The following is a 16,917-nucleotide window of genomic DNA, read 5'->3' as shown; positions in this document are numbered from 1 at the left end:
TGTCAAGAATTGACCACTGTTCCATGTTTCACCGGAGTTTGAGAGGGGAGTGATCAATACTTGTTTTGTTCAGCCTGTTTCCTACGTGAAGGCCAAATACTCCACTTGGGTTTCATCTGAAGAACAAGTGAGTGACTATTGCTGGAAGAAAAGCTAGCTATACTAAGGGCGGTGGGATACCTTTTTAAAGCAAAGCATATAATAATTTTGGCTAAGTGAATCTTACTCAATACACTGACTTTAAGCCAACTCCCCTATATATGATATGCTAATTTACTTTCAAATATCCAGTAGGCAATGGATTTAATAGTTCAGTAATGAGCTACTTGGTTCATGCTAGTATTTACATGTCATTTCTATAACCAAAAATATCTTAATATAGTGGTGACTTTAAGTTGACCCACTTGTCAGTTGGTGAGGGTTAGATGCTGATCAACTGAGTGACTTATGTTCTAACAGGCTATACTGTCTGTCTAATAGCCAGGTAGCAGATGAAGTGTTTGGTAACTCCATCATCCTAATGGCTCTCTCTCTCTCACCCAGGTCTCCTTTCTGAAAAGTCTCACTTCAAGCCATGGTGTATAAAGACACAAAGCTGACTTACTGCTGGGTACGTGTGTCCAACAGAAGCACTGTGTCTACCAATGTCTATGGAGAGGTCCTCTTCAGTGGTTTTCAAGTACACAGGATTGTCAAAGTTCATGCTTTTCATGTTCTTGTGTTGCCAATTCCGCCACATCAAGTAGCCACCTACTGCTGCCATCACTAAGAGCACTGAAAAAAATCAGAGGGTAGCTAAGTGAGCTAAGTCTAGTATTGGAACATACAAGAAAGGTAATAACGTTCAGGAATCCATAATAATTGACATTAGTAAAAATGCCATGTTTTATGGAGCTAGGATAACTAGAAGTTGGAATACACATGGGCCAGGAGCTTGAAACAAGTTCAGCCCAGAGGTAGCTCTGTGCACTGGAGCTGGACTAGCCACATCCATCCAGGCAAGGGCAGGGTCCTCGGTCCCACCTTAGGCTCACCAAATTAAAATTGCAGAAGGTTCTGGAGAGCTATTCAGGTGGTCCTGGCGTGTTAGCTAAGCTTGGGTCTCTTCATTTAGGACAAAGGTTTTTATAGCAAAGTCCTTAGAATTTGCGTGTCTCGTTTAGAGGTCCTTTTCCATAGGTTTGAAAATTCTTAACTGCTTTTAATTTATCCTCAACAAGTCCTGTAACTCTTAGCATTTAAGCATTTGTGCATCTCCTCTGTATGAAGCATTACACACATTTCAAAGGGGGAACAGAACAGTACACTAGTTAAAGAGACTTATTATAAAAGGGGATAAGCCAGGTTAACAGTGCGGAAGTAGAAAGCATTAACCGTTGAACACTTATCATTGCCAGTTACTGTGCCAAAGGTACAACTGAAGAGAAAGATATGGGCCTTAATTTAGTGTATTATGTGGGGGAGAAAGCGAACGTAATTCAGTGTCATAAATGCTAGACAGCATAAAGGCCCATGAAAGGGGTAGCTCCAGATGAACAAAAAATCTTCATCTGGTATCTAAGAAGTTCTTGAACCCAGACTTGTAGGAAATCTACTTACAGAGAGGAAGAATGGCCCATGCGGCAGAAGTCCCTTTTGGGGGAACACTGACCTCTGATACTGCTGTGGTCACATTGATCCCTACAGAGGAATAAAAGGAATCAGTTTAGAAGGATCTGTATTCAGACTTAGAAATTTACCCATCAGGTAAGGAGCCAAAACCTTTGCATCCAATATTGATGTTCAGTATCTACAACAATTGAACACCAGGAACAACTCTGGCTTAGAAGTATTTGAGTCACATGCTGTAGTAGCCATTTCACTGACAGTTCTCTACTAGAAACCTTTAAGATCAGTCAGGAAAAGATATGCAAGTTTTAAGTCTTTGGTGTTTAAATATAGGTTACCAATTGGGGCAGAAATAGTAGTTAAAGGCTGCATTAATTATTTAAGCTGTAGATACAAAGAGTGTGGCTGTTAGTTGAGATTAACAGTTTGCAGTACTGAACTCAATACCTCCAGGAACTAGTCCACTAGTTGCTGAAATTTCTGTTGTGTTCGTATCTTTTGTCTCACTGTAAGTCACAGTAGTTGCAGTACCTGAATTATAAAAACCAAGAACCTGGTTAATGCCAGGGTTCCAGCATGGCTAGCTGTTTTGTCCAGACAAGCCATGTAAAAGGTTATTTTAAAACCAGGTAAAATAGACAAACCACTGCTGAACTAAGTTGTACAGCTGATGTGTCAACATTGAAATAGCAATCTTCATGCAAAAAAGAGATACATGAAACTTTGGGAAGGACAGTCGGTGTTTGGAATTTGACAATTCAAAATGATGGACAACCACATTTTATCCCTCTAAACAACATCCCATGTTCCTGGAAACTACGAGAAATGTTCTCAAGATGCTCTGGTATACCAGGCATACCAGACTGTCTTGCAACTAATTTCTTGGTAAACTGAGCTAATCCCTGCCTGACCATGAATTACGCTAATAAAAACCTCATCAGCCTCACCATACAAGCTCCTTGATCACACAAATGACTTTAATTTGCCACTTAATCAAAAGTTAAGAACAGAAGACTAAATGCAAATTCAGCCTAAGTGTTATTTTAGGGTAGCGTCACCCACTGAGGCAATGAGGTTTCTGTAACCATGGCCTTCCTTAAGCATAATTTCTGTCCTCCTCCTTTTGAGGAAAAATGTTAAGGCCTCATTTAATTACCTGCAAGTTGGCTAGCTCAGTGCTGTTAAGGGACTAGGTACAAATTAGTGTAAGGTATGTTGACACTTTAGTCTCCTATAAACTCATTTAATGTTGAAATGGGTTAAAGTCAGTTCTAAAGAAATGACATGATAACCCGGCATACAATAGCAGATATCTTCTCAAATCTATTCAAAGAATTAGCTAAGACAGAATTCTTAAAAATCCAAGCTTGTGTCTTATTATATTGCTTGTTGTAGGTTCTACTTGTGGTTGAAACACAAAATGCCTTACTTTGACAGTCTCGGCCATTTTCCTCTACATTGTACCCACTGGGACAGGAACAGGTATATTTTGGAGAGTGATCATTAATCTGTGGTGCTGGCAGGCATAGGTATTCACATCCTCCATTCTCCATGTCTTCTTCACACCAATTTTTACCTAGTCAGGAAAAAAAATACCATTAAAATGGGTATTCCGGTGCCTAGTATATATAAAGCCTTGTTCTACATGTTGAAGACCTGAGTCCTTGCCCCCAAGAGCTTAAACTTGTCTACTCTGCTAATCCTTCAAGTGAGAACAGTATCAAGGAAGAATAAGTATACAGGTACAGGCAGCATGCTCTAAGGACACCAGATAAGGGACCTCTTCGAGATAGACTGTAAAAGTTATGCCTTTAAGAGACAGATGCCAAAAGAGGAGGTGGGGAAGGGAGGTGAGGGACCAGGACTGGCTCTCACTATTTGCCCGAGGTTTAGCGTGAAGGCTCAGAGAAAGGAGACTAGGCATGTTCTCCTGGTTTTCTCTTGACTTGCTCCAACAAAGTGGAAGGAAACTCAGCCTTAGGAAGGTTTGAAGGCTTTATTTAGATAGAACCAGCCAAGTGTTTTCAGCAGGAGATAATATAACCCGATGTGTTTGAGAATCTACACAATCCTATATCAGGTGTGTCACAGGGGGAAAGTAGGTGTTATGAGTTGAATGGTGTTCCTCCCTAAAATTCATATAATGAAGTCCTAGTACCTCAGAATGTGATCTTATTTGGAGATATTGAGGATAGGATATTTACAGAGGTAATCAAGTTAAAATGAGGTCATTAAGGTGGGCTCTAATCCAATATGACTGTTATTACAGCTCACGCCTGTAATTCCGGCACTTTAGGAGGCCGAGGCAGGCAGATTACTTTGGGTCAGGAGTTCGAGACCAGTCTGGCCAACATGGTGAAACCCCATCTCTACTAAAGATACAAAGTTTAGCTGGACGTGGTGGCTCACTCCTGTAGTCCCAGCTACTCGGGAGGCTGAGGCAGGAGAATTGCTTGAACACAGGAGGCGGAGGTTGCAGTGAGCCGAGATTGTGCCACTGCACTCCAGCCTGGGTGACAGAGCAAGAGTCAGTCTCCAAAAAACAGAAAAAGAAAGAAAGCAAGAAAGCTGGACACGAGCATATACAGAGGGACGATGATGTGAAGAGACAAAGGGGGAAGAGCACCATCAACAGACCAAGAAGAGGCCTGGAACAGACCCTTCCCTCACAGCCCTCAAGAGGCACCAACCCTCCTGGCACCTTGATTTCAAACTTCTGGCCTCCAGAGTTTTGAGACAATAAATTTCTGTTGTTTAAGATAGTCTGTGGTACTTCATTGCAAAAATCCTAGCAAACTAACAGTAGAGAAAGCTTGTAGCACAAAAGCTACTTTGGAGGCTACTGCAATAGTCTTGGCAAGAGGGGCTGAAGGCCAAGGGGACATGAATGAAACAGAAATAAAAGCTCTGACACTGAGGCTTGGGAGGAAAGCCAGGAGCTGAAGTTGAGAAGCCATTTCTCTGAGGCAGCAGAAATAAAAAAATAACATGTGAAATGTTTAAGGTAGGGTACAGGAGGGCAAAAGTTCCCTTTTAAAGAAAACTGAGTTGCCAAGAGCTACTGACATCCAGCAGGTTCTGTGTCATGCTGCTTCCCTTAAAGTAGTTATTAAGGACTGTGCTTCTCCACGGTACCTGATGGCTGTACAAGTTCATGATAGACAATGATGTCTTGGGCATCATTCAGGTTGTTGACTAGAGTGGCTAGCTCTGATCCAGTGAATTTATTGGCACCATAGACTGCTTCATTTTCCCCATCTATCCAGTAGACACGATCCTAAAACAGAAGCCCACAATTAGCATGTACATCCAGGATTAACACAAGTCCATTTCTAAGGTCATCATCATTTACTTCTCATTTAATGGACTAAGTTTACTGAATGCTGAACTGGGACACTGGATATAAAACTGTAAAAGAATCAAGTTTAGGTGTGGAGTGCTTCTGGGACTTAGTGTCTGATTTGTACCAGGTTTTAAGTGAAAGCAGTTTCTCAAGCCATGTTCAGCTGCTCTTCCCTCCTCCCGCTATGTCTGTTATTTCTTCTCAAAGTGATATAGTAGCTCAAAGGTACACACTTTGATGTGAGACACATCTTACCTCAAATATTGTTAGTGCAAGAGGATGAGCTAGGAACTCCAGAGACTTTAGTACTATCCTACGATCTTGGCCATTCAAGTCCACGCTGGATAACATGTGCAACTTAGAATCAAGCCAATAGAGGCGACTTTTTATAAGGTCTAGGTAGGAAAAGAATTGTCATTACATGACAAGCCACTACTACTCTGGCTTCCATTAAAAATATCTAATGAATTAATAATCTACTTTCACGGTTCTTTCCCCAGCAGGGTTTCTTAACGGGGTCACCATAAACCTTGCGAAGCAGCATGCAGAGCCTGTATCCACGTTCATTTTTGGGGACTAACAGGGTACCTGAGATTCTCAAAGCAAATGACTTAAGAAATATTACTCACATTACAGAAAATATTAAAAGAGGCTACCATTTTGTTGTTCTCCTCCAAAAAGCCAGAAGAAAACTGTTAAAAGCCTGCAATTCAGGAAATGCTAAGGCACTCATGCCCAGAATATTTAGTATGAGTGCACCCAAGACCCAACGTTCACTGAATTTGTGTCACATATTAGGCCCAGCTGGACAACAGGCCAGTAATTATGGAATGTGTAATTTGTTAATCCACCATTTTACTTGTGTTGTTCAGTTACTCCCATTGAAAATTCCTGCTAGAATTTAGGCGGAAGCAGTAGAGTCATCTGCTAGTCCAGAATTCACCATGGAGATAAATGGAAACACTATGAAGATAGTTGAGTGGGTGGTCGAGAAGGAAGAACATACATACCAAGTGTAATTCCGTTAGGCCACTGGATATCCGCTGTCACCAGTGGACGTCTATCGAATCCATTCATTCCTGCTTTTTCTATTTTAGCTGGTTCACCCCAGTCTGACCAGTAAACAAAGCTGTGAAAAATTAAATGAGAAATAAGCCTCAGTGGTTTAGAAGGAATAAAGTTGTAGTAGCTGGAAACAAAAATTTAAAATTTGAGCAGAAAACTCAAGGCATTCTCTAGTGACAAATAGTAACACTTAAGGGTCTAAATTATGTTCTAGGTAAATAAAATTGAATATTAAGAATCTACAAGCTCATTATTAACTATAATAATCTATGTTTGTCTGACATTTAAATTTCGGCCCAAAGTCACAAGGTTATGTTTCCTTTTTAAAAGGTCAGTTCTTACAGAGGAGTGCAAGACGAACATCCTTCAAATTTCATAGCAGGGGTTGGCTGGCTGACTGAGTTCTAATGAGGCTGCACGGGGGCCAGTTGTGATGACAACTACAGCCTTAGTCAACTTCCTGAGCTGCTCTTCTATGTTACTTAGTGGCAATTTACAGAACCCCCTTAGTGAAATGTTTCTAGAAAGGTCTGTTTATTTCTGCTGGACTTTCAGACAACTTGCACACTTAGATGCAATGTGGTTACCCAAATCCTCACAATTCAGGCTGTCGTTTAGGTTTGATCATCCAGAGCTAGCCCAGCAAAGCTTTCAGTCAAAAATTAAAAAATCACTTGCGTAGAAACTGGGTGGACAAAAGGGTTCAGATACAGCTTTTGGTACACACATCAAATCAGGAATGTTAATTCATTAATGTCAGCCAGCAATCAGTCATACGAGAGTCAGACAGGAGGACCTGTCATATAGATAAGGACATCCCAGGGTCACTCACCTGGGGCAAAACTGATATCTTAAATTAGAATTCTAATTCTTTGTTGCAGAAGGCTCATAAACCTTGAGATTTGAGTACTAATTCAGGTATGAGAAAGCTCCTGACCTACACAGATACCATTCCAAAGTCTGTGATGGAAAACAGACTACAAACCCAGACAGTGGGTCCACAGCTATGGAGGCAGGCTCTCGCAAGTCAGAGTTAAACAGGAACTTCCTCTTGGTTCCATCTAGGGTAGCTACTGAAATAGTCTTAGAAGCCGCATCAGTCCAGTAGATGGTCTTGTACACCCAATCAACAGCAATGGCTGCAGGATTATAGACATTGTCGATCATTTTAACATGTCTACCAACCTTGTCATCAATTGAGGCACTGAAACAGAATAGGTCACAAGAAATTTAAGAGTTTGACACAATTAGAGCTTGGAGAATGGACTTTTTGCTTACAAAATGGTCAATGACTTTGTTCAGAAAGAAATCCAGTTAACACCACAGCTCACCACTCAAATTATTTAACCATGCTGCTTACTGATCCTAAATTAATAATGCTGTAGATTATCTAGTTGCTGGTATGTATTCTATATACAAGAACAACAAATTTCTAAGTGAAGCTATTTGTTTCAGTATCCATCATCTGAGTTTCTATAGTTCCCATTAAGAAAAGGCTGTACTACCATTTCTATTTGTAGCAACAATGAACAGTTCTCAATTAACTGTAGAGAAAAGGGAGAAAATATAAAAAATATGAAAGATGTCATCTTTTACTTCATAGACAATTGTTAGTTTCTAATTAGGAAGTGATAACAGTTTAATAAAGAATTAGCATTAGATTTAATGTCCCCAGGTAATTCGATGCTAGATGGGGCTAGACACAAAAGAAACTCCTCCAAACTATCCCACAGATCACTTCCCAAGTGACAATGACTTATGTCAAGACACCACAAAAGGAACTGAAAGTTACCTGAAGATAGCCTTTTGGCTTAGATCGGCCCAGAATAGTTTCTGGGCAGCAATGTCAGCATCGAGAGCCACAGTGTTTCTTAGCTGTTCAACTAGTTGGATATATTCTTTCCTCTCTAAGCCAATCTTCCTGATGTCTCTTCGATTAGTGAAGATCAGACTTGGCTCTTTGCCTGCAAGATGGAAGTCTGGGTTACTTAGTTTTGCTTTAAGAAGGCAAGGTCTTTCTAAACCACCTCCTCCCAGCAGAGGAGCACTTAGAAAATAAAGGTATTGTGGAATACCTCAGTAGTATCTGTTCTGGAGTTCCTGCCCCTGGGACCTGCAAGTGCTTCCTACAGTTTAGGAAGGCAGTCGTGGGGTTACAGCCTTCAAGAACAGGGTGAGTGATGAATAAGTCACTTGTTTGAGTTGGACTCAAGTTTTGGAAACAGAGCATGCAAACCTGGTAGGTATTCATGGTATCATATGCAAAAGGAATGATCAAGGTACATATCTAGGGGAGAGATCTGCTATTTGACCTATACTGCTGTATTATGAGGTTAGCAGCATTGTTCTCAAGTACAATTTCATGTTTAGTTTGACTATTGTAGTCACTGGCTGTACCTTTTAGAGGCACTTACTCATAAAGGTACAACAGCCATACCAGTCCAAGTTCATTTACCTACTGCCTTGCACACGCCAGTAGCAAGATCCATTTGATAGCCACGACTACATTCACACTTGTAACCGCCTTTTAAGTTGATACAAATTTGACTGCAGATTCCTGGATTTTGGCATTCATCAATATCTGGGAGGGAAATCAGAATTAGTCTTGCTGCTCCTATACCTTACTAGGTACATACTATCCTTTCCCATCACCTGCAGGGTCCAGGTTTTCTTCTTAGACTCACCTCCACAGGTTTTCCTATCTATCAGTTCAAACCCAGCTGCACAGTCACACTCGTAGCCTATAACTAGGTCTTTGCAGATATGAGAACATCCACCATTATTTACCAAGCATTCGTTTATATCTGGAATAAAAATGTAGTAGTCACTTGACAACTTATTTTCAATTAATATCTTTCACATTTAAAACCCAGGCTATTTGTGATAACTTATCTAGTTGGCCTGGTCAAACCCACGATTTGTCTAAGACCTAATCATTTATTTTATAGGTATATATTTCAGGGTGGATTATCTAACTCCTCGGCAAGTTACCAGCTGGTCAAGCATTTAGTCAAGTTTCTCTATTGATGATCAGTTATCTTTAAGGAGGTTAAACTATAAACTAGTTTGGGCCGGGCGCGGTGGCTCATGCCTGTAATCCCAGCACTTTGGAAGGCCGAGGCGGGTGGATCACGAGGTCAGGAGTTCGAGACCAGCCTGGCCAACATGGTGAAACCCTGTCTCTACTAAAAATACAAAAAAAAAAAAAAAAATTAGCCGGGCGTGGTGGTGGGCGCCTATAGTCCCAGCTACTCAGGAGGCTGAGGCAGAAGAACTGCTTGAACCCGGGAGGCAGAGGTTGCAGTGAGCCGAGATTGCATCATTGCACTCCAGCCTGGGCAACAAGAGTGGAACTCCATCTCAAAAAAAAAAAAAAAAAAAAAACAACAAAAACAAAAACTATAAACTAGTTTGTCCTACCTGGGCTTTTAAGTCATAAAGTTTCACTCTGAAGTCTACAATTGAACTTCAGTACATTCAAAAGTTTAACTAGCCATCACGGGGGGTCCACACAGTGTTAGCTATACTGGATTGTGTCAAACTTCCAGGATCTGTACTTGAACAACAAGTACACTTACGACACTCTTTCAGGGGCTCATCACTCCAGTCCCTGCAGTCCTGCTCCTGGTTACATACTTTGCTGATATCTATGCATTCTCCACTTCTGCACTTGAATTTTCCAGGGCCCAAGCACTGATTGACTACAAAGAGAAACAAAGAAGAGAGATTCCATGAGTGGGTCTGGTCAGAGCAATCCATTGCTTAACCAACAAGAAGAAACCCTTACCATTTTTGCAGTTGACTTCATCGGAACCATCGACACAGTCTCGGATACCATTACACTGCCTGCTGCCATGGATGCAGCTGCCATCCTCACATTCAAATTGGTCAGGTCGGCAAGTTCGAGAGGCTACAAAGGGAGGAAACACCATGGAATGAAGCCAGCAAATTGTCCCAGTTGATACAGGGAAGAGAACTGAACATGCCATGCTAGAAAGCTACTTACGACAGTTGACCTCATCACTGCCATCCTTGCAGTCAGGGTCCCCATCACATCGCCACTTCTTATGGATGCACTCGCCAGAGCCGCACTGGATTTCGCTGGCTGGACACTTGGTGTGTATGACTGGCTGACGGCCACACTGCTCCAGGGACTCATCAGATTGGTCGGAGCAGTCTGCATCATCGTCGCATACCCAGCTGATGGGGATGCAGGAGGAGGTGCTGCACTGGAACTCATGGGCGCCACAGGTTGGCGGGGCACAGTCCAGCTCATCACTGCCATCGCTGCAGTCATCCTGGCCATTGCATACAAAGTTCCTGGAGATGCAGCGGCCACTGGAGCAGGTGAACTCGTCGGGACTACATGTTATATTGCCTATTAAGAGAGAGGATGCCCCACTGAAAATGCATCAAGATTGGTCCGTTCAAGATTCTTGTCCCAAAATCTAATACATTGATCTTTATTCATTAATCCTAACTTACTAGCCCAACTTAAAGGCTACAATGGAGTTAAATCAAGAACTTTTGTACAGTCTCATTGTACAAAAAATGAAGGCACACAATAAATAAGAAGAACAGAAATAAAGAACCAAGAAAATAGTTGAAGACTGGAAATTAATTTGAGATGAGAACCACAATTGATTCTAAAAGTGGCCATCATAAATAACAAACTGTAACAAGGGATTTCAATTTGGAAGGCAGAGATTGAGTTGTCCTTGAATCAACATACTGCTTGTCAGATCTTATCACTAGTTGAGAATATCATGCAACGTAATACTCACAACAAGCATTAAGACTTTGTCACCAAAAGAGGTGAACCACATACCACCATATATGGTTCCTCTTTTTGGTCCTTTAAATAAGGATCAGGAATAACAAGTCTTAAACACTTTCCATTTTGAAAAAGTCACTGCCAGGGCTATAATCACCATTTAACAATCAGGTATGCTGACAATGATAAGCTAGTCCTACTAGCCAATTGGTACTTTGACTTAAATTCCTGCCAAATGTTTCAAGGTCACAATTTGGTGGCAATTAGAATAGAGACCACGACTCTCTTGGGAAGCAAAGTCTAGATTTATAAGGGAAACACTTGGCAGCACCAGGGCTTACCAATACAGAAAACCCAATTCTAGGATTGAACACTAAAACTCATTGGACTAGGTGCAGTGGTATTGACCTCAGGAGGCGACTTCTACACACAAGACTGGTGTTTCAACTGTAAGTGCCCTGAGCTCCCTTGACTACTACCATATCAGGAGGCCCATGCTTGTCAGACTTGGGAGCTGTAGGTTTTAGAGGCCCTATAAAAAGGGCAGTAGCTTGAAAGAACATTCAAAGCACTGTTTGTTCAACCTAGTGATTTTCCCAGGCCCTCACCTTCAACATGCAGCATTTTATTAAAGATTTTCCAAGACCAGAAACATGAAAGAATAGGAAGCAGAGTTAGCTTTCAGAGACAGGAACTGCAACAGGAGACAAAGGTATCACCAGTTGGGTAGACTTTTCTTTGGGTATCTGAGGCAAGATGTTAATTCATGCTTCTGTGTCTTTTTTTTTTTTTTTTCTGGGAAAGTTATGCCAGAATCTAGTTCATGGGCAAAGAAATGCTTGTATAATACTCAAATAATTTATTCCAATAACCCAATCAAATTTAGACCTATGAATGTGTTTGCCAACCCTACTCACCTTCTAATTTTATTGTGCCAAAGTGCAAAAGACACATGAATTACTGTCAAAACAAAAGCCCACACAATTGCTGCTTCCCTGAGCTACTTCTATATATAAGTGCCTTGAATGACTTACCTTCTTATTTCTATTTGCCTAAAAGAAACACCAAGCGATGGTCAATTGCCACATGAATGTCTTTTAGGGTTTTAGGGCAGTTATGAAGGACAAGTAATTGAGCAGATAGTGAAGTCACTGAAAAGTGAGTCAATGTCAGTGCGTCTTCAGGCTTAGATTAGTTTCCCCTGCCCACCCTTCCTTTAGGAAAAGGGTCTTTGGGTTACGTCACTCAACACTGATCTTCTTACCACAGTTTTCTTCATCTTCTCCACTGTCACAATCATTTTCACCATCACATCTCCAGGACACTGGGATACACTGAGTAGAATGGGCGCCACAGCTGATTTCATGTATGCGGCATGTTCTCATATCTGTTGATGATATACAGTCTCAAAAGAGCCTCAGAACTGATCAATGCAAAGCTGCTGCTCCTGTGCTGCCTGGAAGCGCTAATACCTGTGACTCAGTAGCCTGGCACACTGGTGAAATTCTACTAACTGGCTGAAGCCCGGGGAGCTCTTTCATCAGCTCCACTCCTTAGAAGCTGTGCCAACCTATGCTACCTGGCAGTGTACGTGACAGCTTTGACCACGTCACTCCTTCAAGGTCCCATGGCGTGCTCAGTTCTGGCTTTTGTTTTACTTGGCGTGGTGAAGTTTATTGGCTGGCCTGCTCCTAGACCACTATTTATCTGTTGGATGTCAAGTGGGCACACCTAGATATTGTCATCTAATCTCAAATACATGAAAAGTCAGATGGTCAAACACCTACAAAATCTTCTATTGCCTAGATTCCTTTATGGGCCTCCTTCACAATGTCCTTTAGATTGACATCTTGCAAAGTAGAAGCATGCCCTAATGCTTGACTTGACCAGGTCATTCTCCACTAAAAGTTGAGGCTGAATCTTTACACAACCTGTCTTTAGCTCACAGGCCTTGAACTCACTTGCCTTGACCAATATTACTCCCCTCACTTCTTATCTAGAAAATTGAAAGTAACAGCCTTATCTTCCTTTCTATTTGATTTTCTTTCATAATCACACTTTAGACCTAAACTGTGTTCATGTTAGTCCTTTTTTAGTGTTTCTACCAGTGCAGGCCTCTACTGACTCAAACTCTAAGACTTTCTTTGCCTTGACATTCGTGTGATCTCAATTTATATGATCCCAAACCATCATTCTTTATGGTCTCATAGACTTTTTCCTAAGGACACAGGTATATACTTGCATACCTATGAAGTTTCTCTTATTTAAGAATATGCTGTAAGATCTCCATTTTAGTAACTTGAGGTTACATGTGTGTCAGGAGTCACTATATCACCCAATTACTAGCTACCTTACCTCTTCAGTAATAGCTTTTTAATAGTATGATAAGCTGTGCTTCTAAAAGCTTTTGCTTGGCCCATAGGGAACCCTCACTTCTTGACTTAGCTTCCAGGACCAGAGTACCATCTGCTCAGTTATTATAAACAGACATTTGAAATCTATGCACCTAGTCAAGGAGTTCTTGATTGAATCTGCTGACTTCAGTTTTAAGTATTCAATAGTGAAGCTACCCAAGAGAATGTCAGTCTTGTTGGACCAGGGAGAACATTCTTTAAAGGAGGCTGATAAACTGGTAATGATTTGACTGCCCTTGGAGTCAATTGACCTAAACTTTAAGGCAGGCAAAGAAAAATGAATACCAAGTAGGAGATTAAGCAATACTTAGAAATGTTAGACACCGAACAACTTGGCAAAGTTCAAGGCCAAAGCAAGTTACACTCACGGCACTGTTCTGGGCTTTCATCTGAACCATCTTCGCAGTCAGGATCTCCATCACACTTCCATCGGCTGGGAACACACTGGCCATTGTTGCACACGAAGTCAGATTCAGCACACGTCTTCTTTACTACAAACGTTTATTTGAAGGGTTAAAGTTGAAGTCATTTACCCACAGCCCTAGCTTCACATGAGGGCTCATACTGCATTTTGGCATGTTTTGCTCTAAAAAAAAGCTGAGTCAATGGGCACTCAACTGCCAATATCCAGGGGAAACTTCAGAAAAATTATTATTTTTTTTCAGAGGAGGAAGATGCTCATTTGAGAGACTTGGAGGAAACTGAAGTCAAGGTCAGACAGAGGTTGCCCATTATCTTACAACTCGGAGATACCTTACATTTAACTTCCTGCCTGTTTTATAATGTTGAGATTAAGTAACACTTTCATTTTCTACATGCATTTCTTCCAAGTCATTCAAGTACTTCATTTAACAGCTAAACATTCCATCTTCTGACTGGATCATAGTAGAACTGCTTGCTGGGGACTGAATGTTTGTCTCCACCCAGAATTCACGTGTGGAAATCCTAACCCCTAACATGATGTTATTAGGAGGTAGGGCCTCTGGGAGGTAATTAAGTCATGAGGGTGGAGCCCCCATGAATGGGATTAGCACCCTCATAAAAAGAAACCAGAGCGCTTACTCTCTCTCTCTTTGTTATCTACTATGTAAGGACACAGTGAGAAGATGGTCATCTGCAAACCAGAAAGACAGCCCTCACCTGATATCAGATCTACTGGCAGGTCTCTTCTCAGCCTCCACAACTATGAGAAATAAATTTCTGTTGTTTCAGCCACCCACTTATGGTATTTTTGTGACAGCAGTCTGAGCTGACTAATATACTGTTCAAGGGGCATCCCCTAACAACACATGTGTTTAGTGTGGAGAATGAAGGCCAAACCCCAGTACTGAATATTGTCACCCATACTGGTCTACAGGGGCAAAGAAACTCATCAGGTAGAAAGGGGAGAAAACTCAATCAGTGTAACAAGAGATGTTGTACTTAGAATTCAAGGGAGAGAAGATTTTAGCCTTTCTAGCCAAGGGGTAGGCTAACATCAACCAGCTAAAAGTCATTGAAGCTGTCAGTGCTAATATCCATAACTGCCTGCTAATGTTAAAATAGCCTAAGGAGAGGAATTGATTCTGTTGCTAATTCTTCCTGGGGCAGGTCTTTCCCCTATACTTAGGGTTACCATGCAATTTTTTGTCCAAACTGGGACAGTCTCAGCAGAAAGGGGACACTTTTAATTATATCTGGAAGATAAGCATAAACCAGGACTGTCCTAAGCAAATCGGGCAGCTTGATTATCCTACCCATGAAGGAATCACGGAGCAGGATGAATCTTGATATAAAGTAGCCACACAGGATACCCTAAGCTTATCTTTCTTAGATTATATTCTTTCTTGCCTATATGCTTATACCTTCTACCCAATTTCTATTTTAAAACATTCCTCTATAACATATATTCTGTGAAGGTAAATAAGTGAAAAATTCACAATTTGATGAACATTTGAAAGGGACTGTTTCTCAAATCACTGGTTTAAAGCAGGTAGAACTCTCAGAGCTTAGAGTGTGCCCTTGGACCACTCTGGTTGAGAGTAAGATATTGTAAAGGAGAGAGACAGTGATTACAGTTAATTTCTAGAACTCAAGATGGGTTGACAAATTATGATGATCTATAAAGGATTATCTCCTTGAATTACACAGCCAAGGAAACAAGACTGGCCATGCTAGCTTTAGATTCATGCCTGTTTCTAAAATCACTGAAAAACTCAAACACTAATGTTAATGAATTAAGTGCTATTCAAGGTCTGTGTTCTCCTGAGCATGGAGGAAGAAGTCAGAGGGTCTGCAGGGTTAGTTGCTATAATTCAACCTGTGATATTCTTTGGAAGCTACAAAAGAGGGAGTAGCGGAATGGCTGTAAAGAGACCCCATGATTGATTGATTGATTGATTTTTTATTTATTTTTATTTATTTTTTTGAGATGGAGTCTCGCTCTGTCACCCAGGCTGGAGTGCAGTGGCGTGGTCTTGGCTCACTGCAAGCTCCGCCTCCCGGGTTCACGCCATTCTCCTGCCTCAGCCTCCCGAGTAGCTGGGACTACAGGCACCTGCCACCATGTCCGGCTAAATTTTTTTGTATTTTTAGTGGAGACGGGGTTTCACTGTGTTAGCCAGGGTGGTCTCGATCTCCTGACCTCGTGATTCGCCTGCCTAGGCCGCCCAAAGTGCTGGGATTATAGGCGTGAGCCACCGCACCCGGCCCTCCATGATTTTAAGTCTTAGAAAACGTAAGGAGGATGTGAAAGATTGGCTGTATACCACAGTGTTTGAGCAAAAGATAAACAGAGACAGACAAATTGCCGTATGGTTCTCTCTCTTCATTTGGAGCATAGACTGGGAGGGTAAAGAAAGGATATGTGAACTGGGCCTTGAGAGACAAATAGGAATTTAGATGTGCTACAGAGGAAGAGAATTAGCAGTTACATATTTAGAGTACTTAGGTTGCTGATTAATTAGCTCAGCCTAACATTATAAAAGAATGAGTTAATGGGACCAACAGAAGCACATGGCTAATAGAATCTAAGGTTAAGTTGACTATGCCCATTGACATACTGGAAATAAAGAACTAAGCTAAATATTGTAACCAAGTTCCATATTAAGAGGTTAGACTAAAAATAGGAGGCAGCTTTGGAAGTTTTAAGTAATTCTATAGCTTTCCTCTTCCATAGAGAAACAAAGTAAGCACTCAGACCTTCCCTGATTGTAATATTTCTACTTTCTTTCTCTACTGTCACACACAGGAAGTAGAGACAAATTTTGGCTAAGGATATAATTTTTCCTGCCTCAAATGATCTTGATTAGATATACATCTACCTCTTTTTCTTTGCCAAACTCTCCTACCATGTGGCTAGTAGAGAGTACTTATACAAGACTATTTTAGAAAAATCCCAAGTTGACCCAGGTTAGTTCCTACTGAGTCACATGGTAAAAAAAGACTTGTGCAACACAAAGAGAATAATTACTTTTTAAGAACAAGCAATGGGTTTTGCCAAATATATCGTTTAGAAGAGAGGAAAAAAAATTGCAACTTACAACAGGAAAATAGTTGACAAGAGTGAGGACTCTCTAAGGAGATATTTAGTAAGAGAACTAAATTACCTAGGTAACCCAGAAATAGCATGAGACTCAGTGTCTTGTGGAATAGATTAAAATCTTAGTGTTAAAATGCAAATGATGATAAAGTGTTGCACAGGAGAACTATTCTTGGTCCTGAGACTGGATGTA

At 41.1% G+C, this 16,917-nt stretch overlaps 1 protein-coding gene and 1 long non-coding RNA gene across 7 annotated transcripts in view, besides 2 other annotated features; one reads left to right on the top strand and one right to left on the bottom strand.

The window, feature by feature from the left end:
* LOC105375957 (uncharacterized) overlaps positions 1-4,370 on the top strand; it is a 45,278-nt gene extending 40,908 nt beyond the window's left edge. For both annotated transcript variants that reach the window (XR_929436.3, XR_929435.3), the window contains exon 3: positions 544-4,370. This is a non-coding gene — a long non-coding RNA (uncharacterized LOC105375957). The remainder of the gene's footprint in view (positions 1-543) is intronic.
* The window catches only part of VLDLR (very low density lipoprotein receptor), a 38,270-nt gene that overhangs the window by 6,503 nt on the left and 14,850 nt on the right, over positions 1-16,917 (bottom strand). Inside the window, exons 3-18 of one of the 5 annotated variants that reach the window (NM_003383.5) lie at positions 13,573-13,695; positions 12,055-12,177; positions 10,023-10,394; positions 9,804-9,926; positions 9,595-9,717; positions 8,701-8,820; positions 8,472-8,597; positions 7,809-7,980; positions 7,002-7,220; positions 5,962-6,080; positions 5,207-5,346; positions 4,744-4,885; positions 3,038-3,184; positions 2,056-2,139; positions 1,600-1,680; positions 605-774 (exon numbers count right to left, since the gene is read on the bottom strand). In NM_003383.5, coding sequence (NP_003374.3) covers positions 605-774; positions 1,600-1,680; positions 2,056-2,139; positions 3,038-3,184; positions 4,744-4,885; positions 5,207-5,346; positions 5,962-6,080; positions 7,002-7,220; positions 7,809-7,980; positions 8,472-8,597; positions 8,701-8,820; positions 9,595-9,717; positions 9,804-9,926; positions 10,023-10,394; positions 12,055-12,177; positions 13,573-13,695 — 2,384 coding nt within the window. Of the gene's footprint in view, positions 1-604; positions 775-1,599; positions 1,681-2,055; positions 2,140-3,037; positions 3,185-4,743; positions 4,886-5,206; positions 5,347-5,961; positions 6,081-7,001; positions 7,221-7,808; positions 7,981-8,471; positions 8,598-8,700; positions 8,821-9,594; positions 9,718-9,803; positions 9,927-10,022; positions 10,395-12,054; positions 12,178-13,572; positions 13,696-16,917 lie in introns of those variants that run through there. The other 4 variants (NM_001018056.3, NM_001322225.2, NM_001322226.2 and 1 more) reach the window with 4 other exon arrangements.
* Positions 7,721-7,780: a silencer, noted in NCBI's record as "silent region_19737". NCBI's record gives its function as "represses an Ori minimal core promoter by ATAC-STARR-seq in GM12878 lymphoblastoid cells {active_cell/tissue: GM12878}" and the evidence as "EXISTENCE:reporter gene assay evidence [ECO:0000049][PMID:35858748]".
* Positions 7,791-7,840: a silencer, noted in NCBI's record as "silent region_19736". NCBI's record gives its function as "represses an Ori minimal core promoter by ATAC-STARR-seq in GM12878 lymphoblastoid cells {active_cell/tissue: GM12878}" and the evidence as "EXISTENCE:reporter gene assay evidence [ECO:0000049][PMID:35858748]".

This window comes from Homo sapiens, chromosome 9 (genome assembly GCF_000001405.40).
Source record: "Homo sapiens chromosome 9, GRCh38.p14 Primary Assembly".
Lineage (NCBI taxonomy): Eukaryota > Metazoa > Chordata > Mammalia > Primates > Hominidae > Homo > Homo sapiens.
This window is presented reverse-complemented; position numbering and strand designations above follow the sequence as displayed.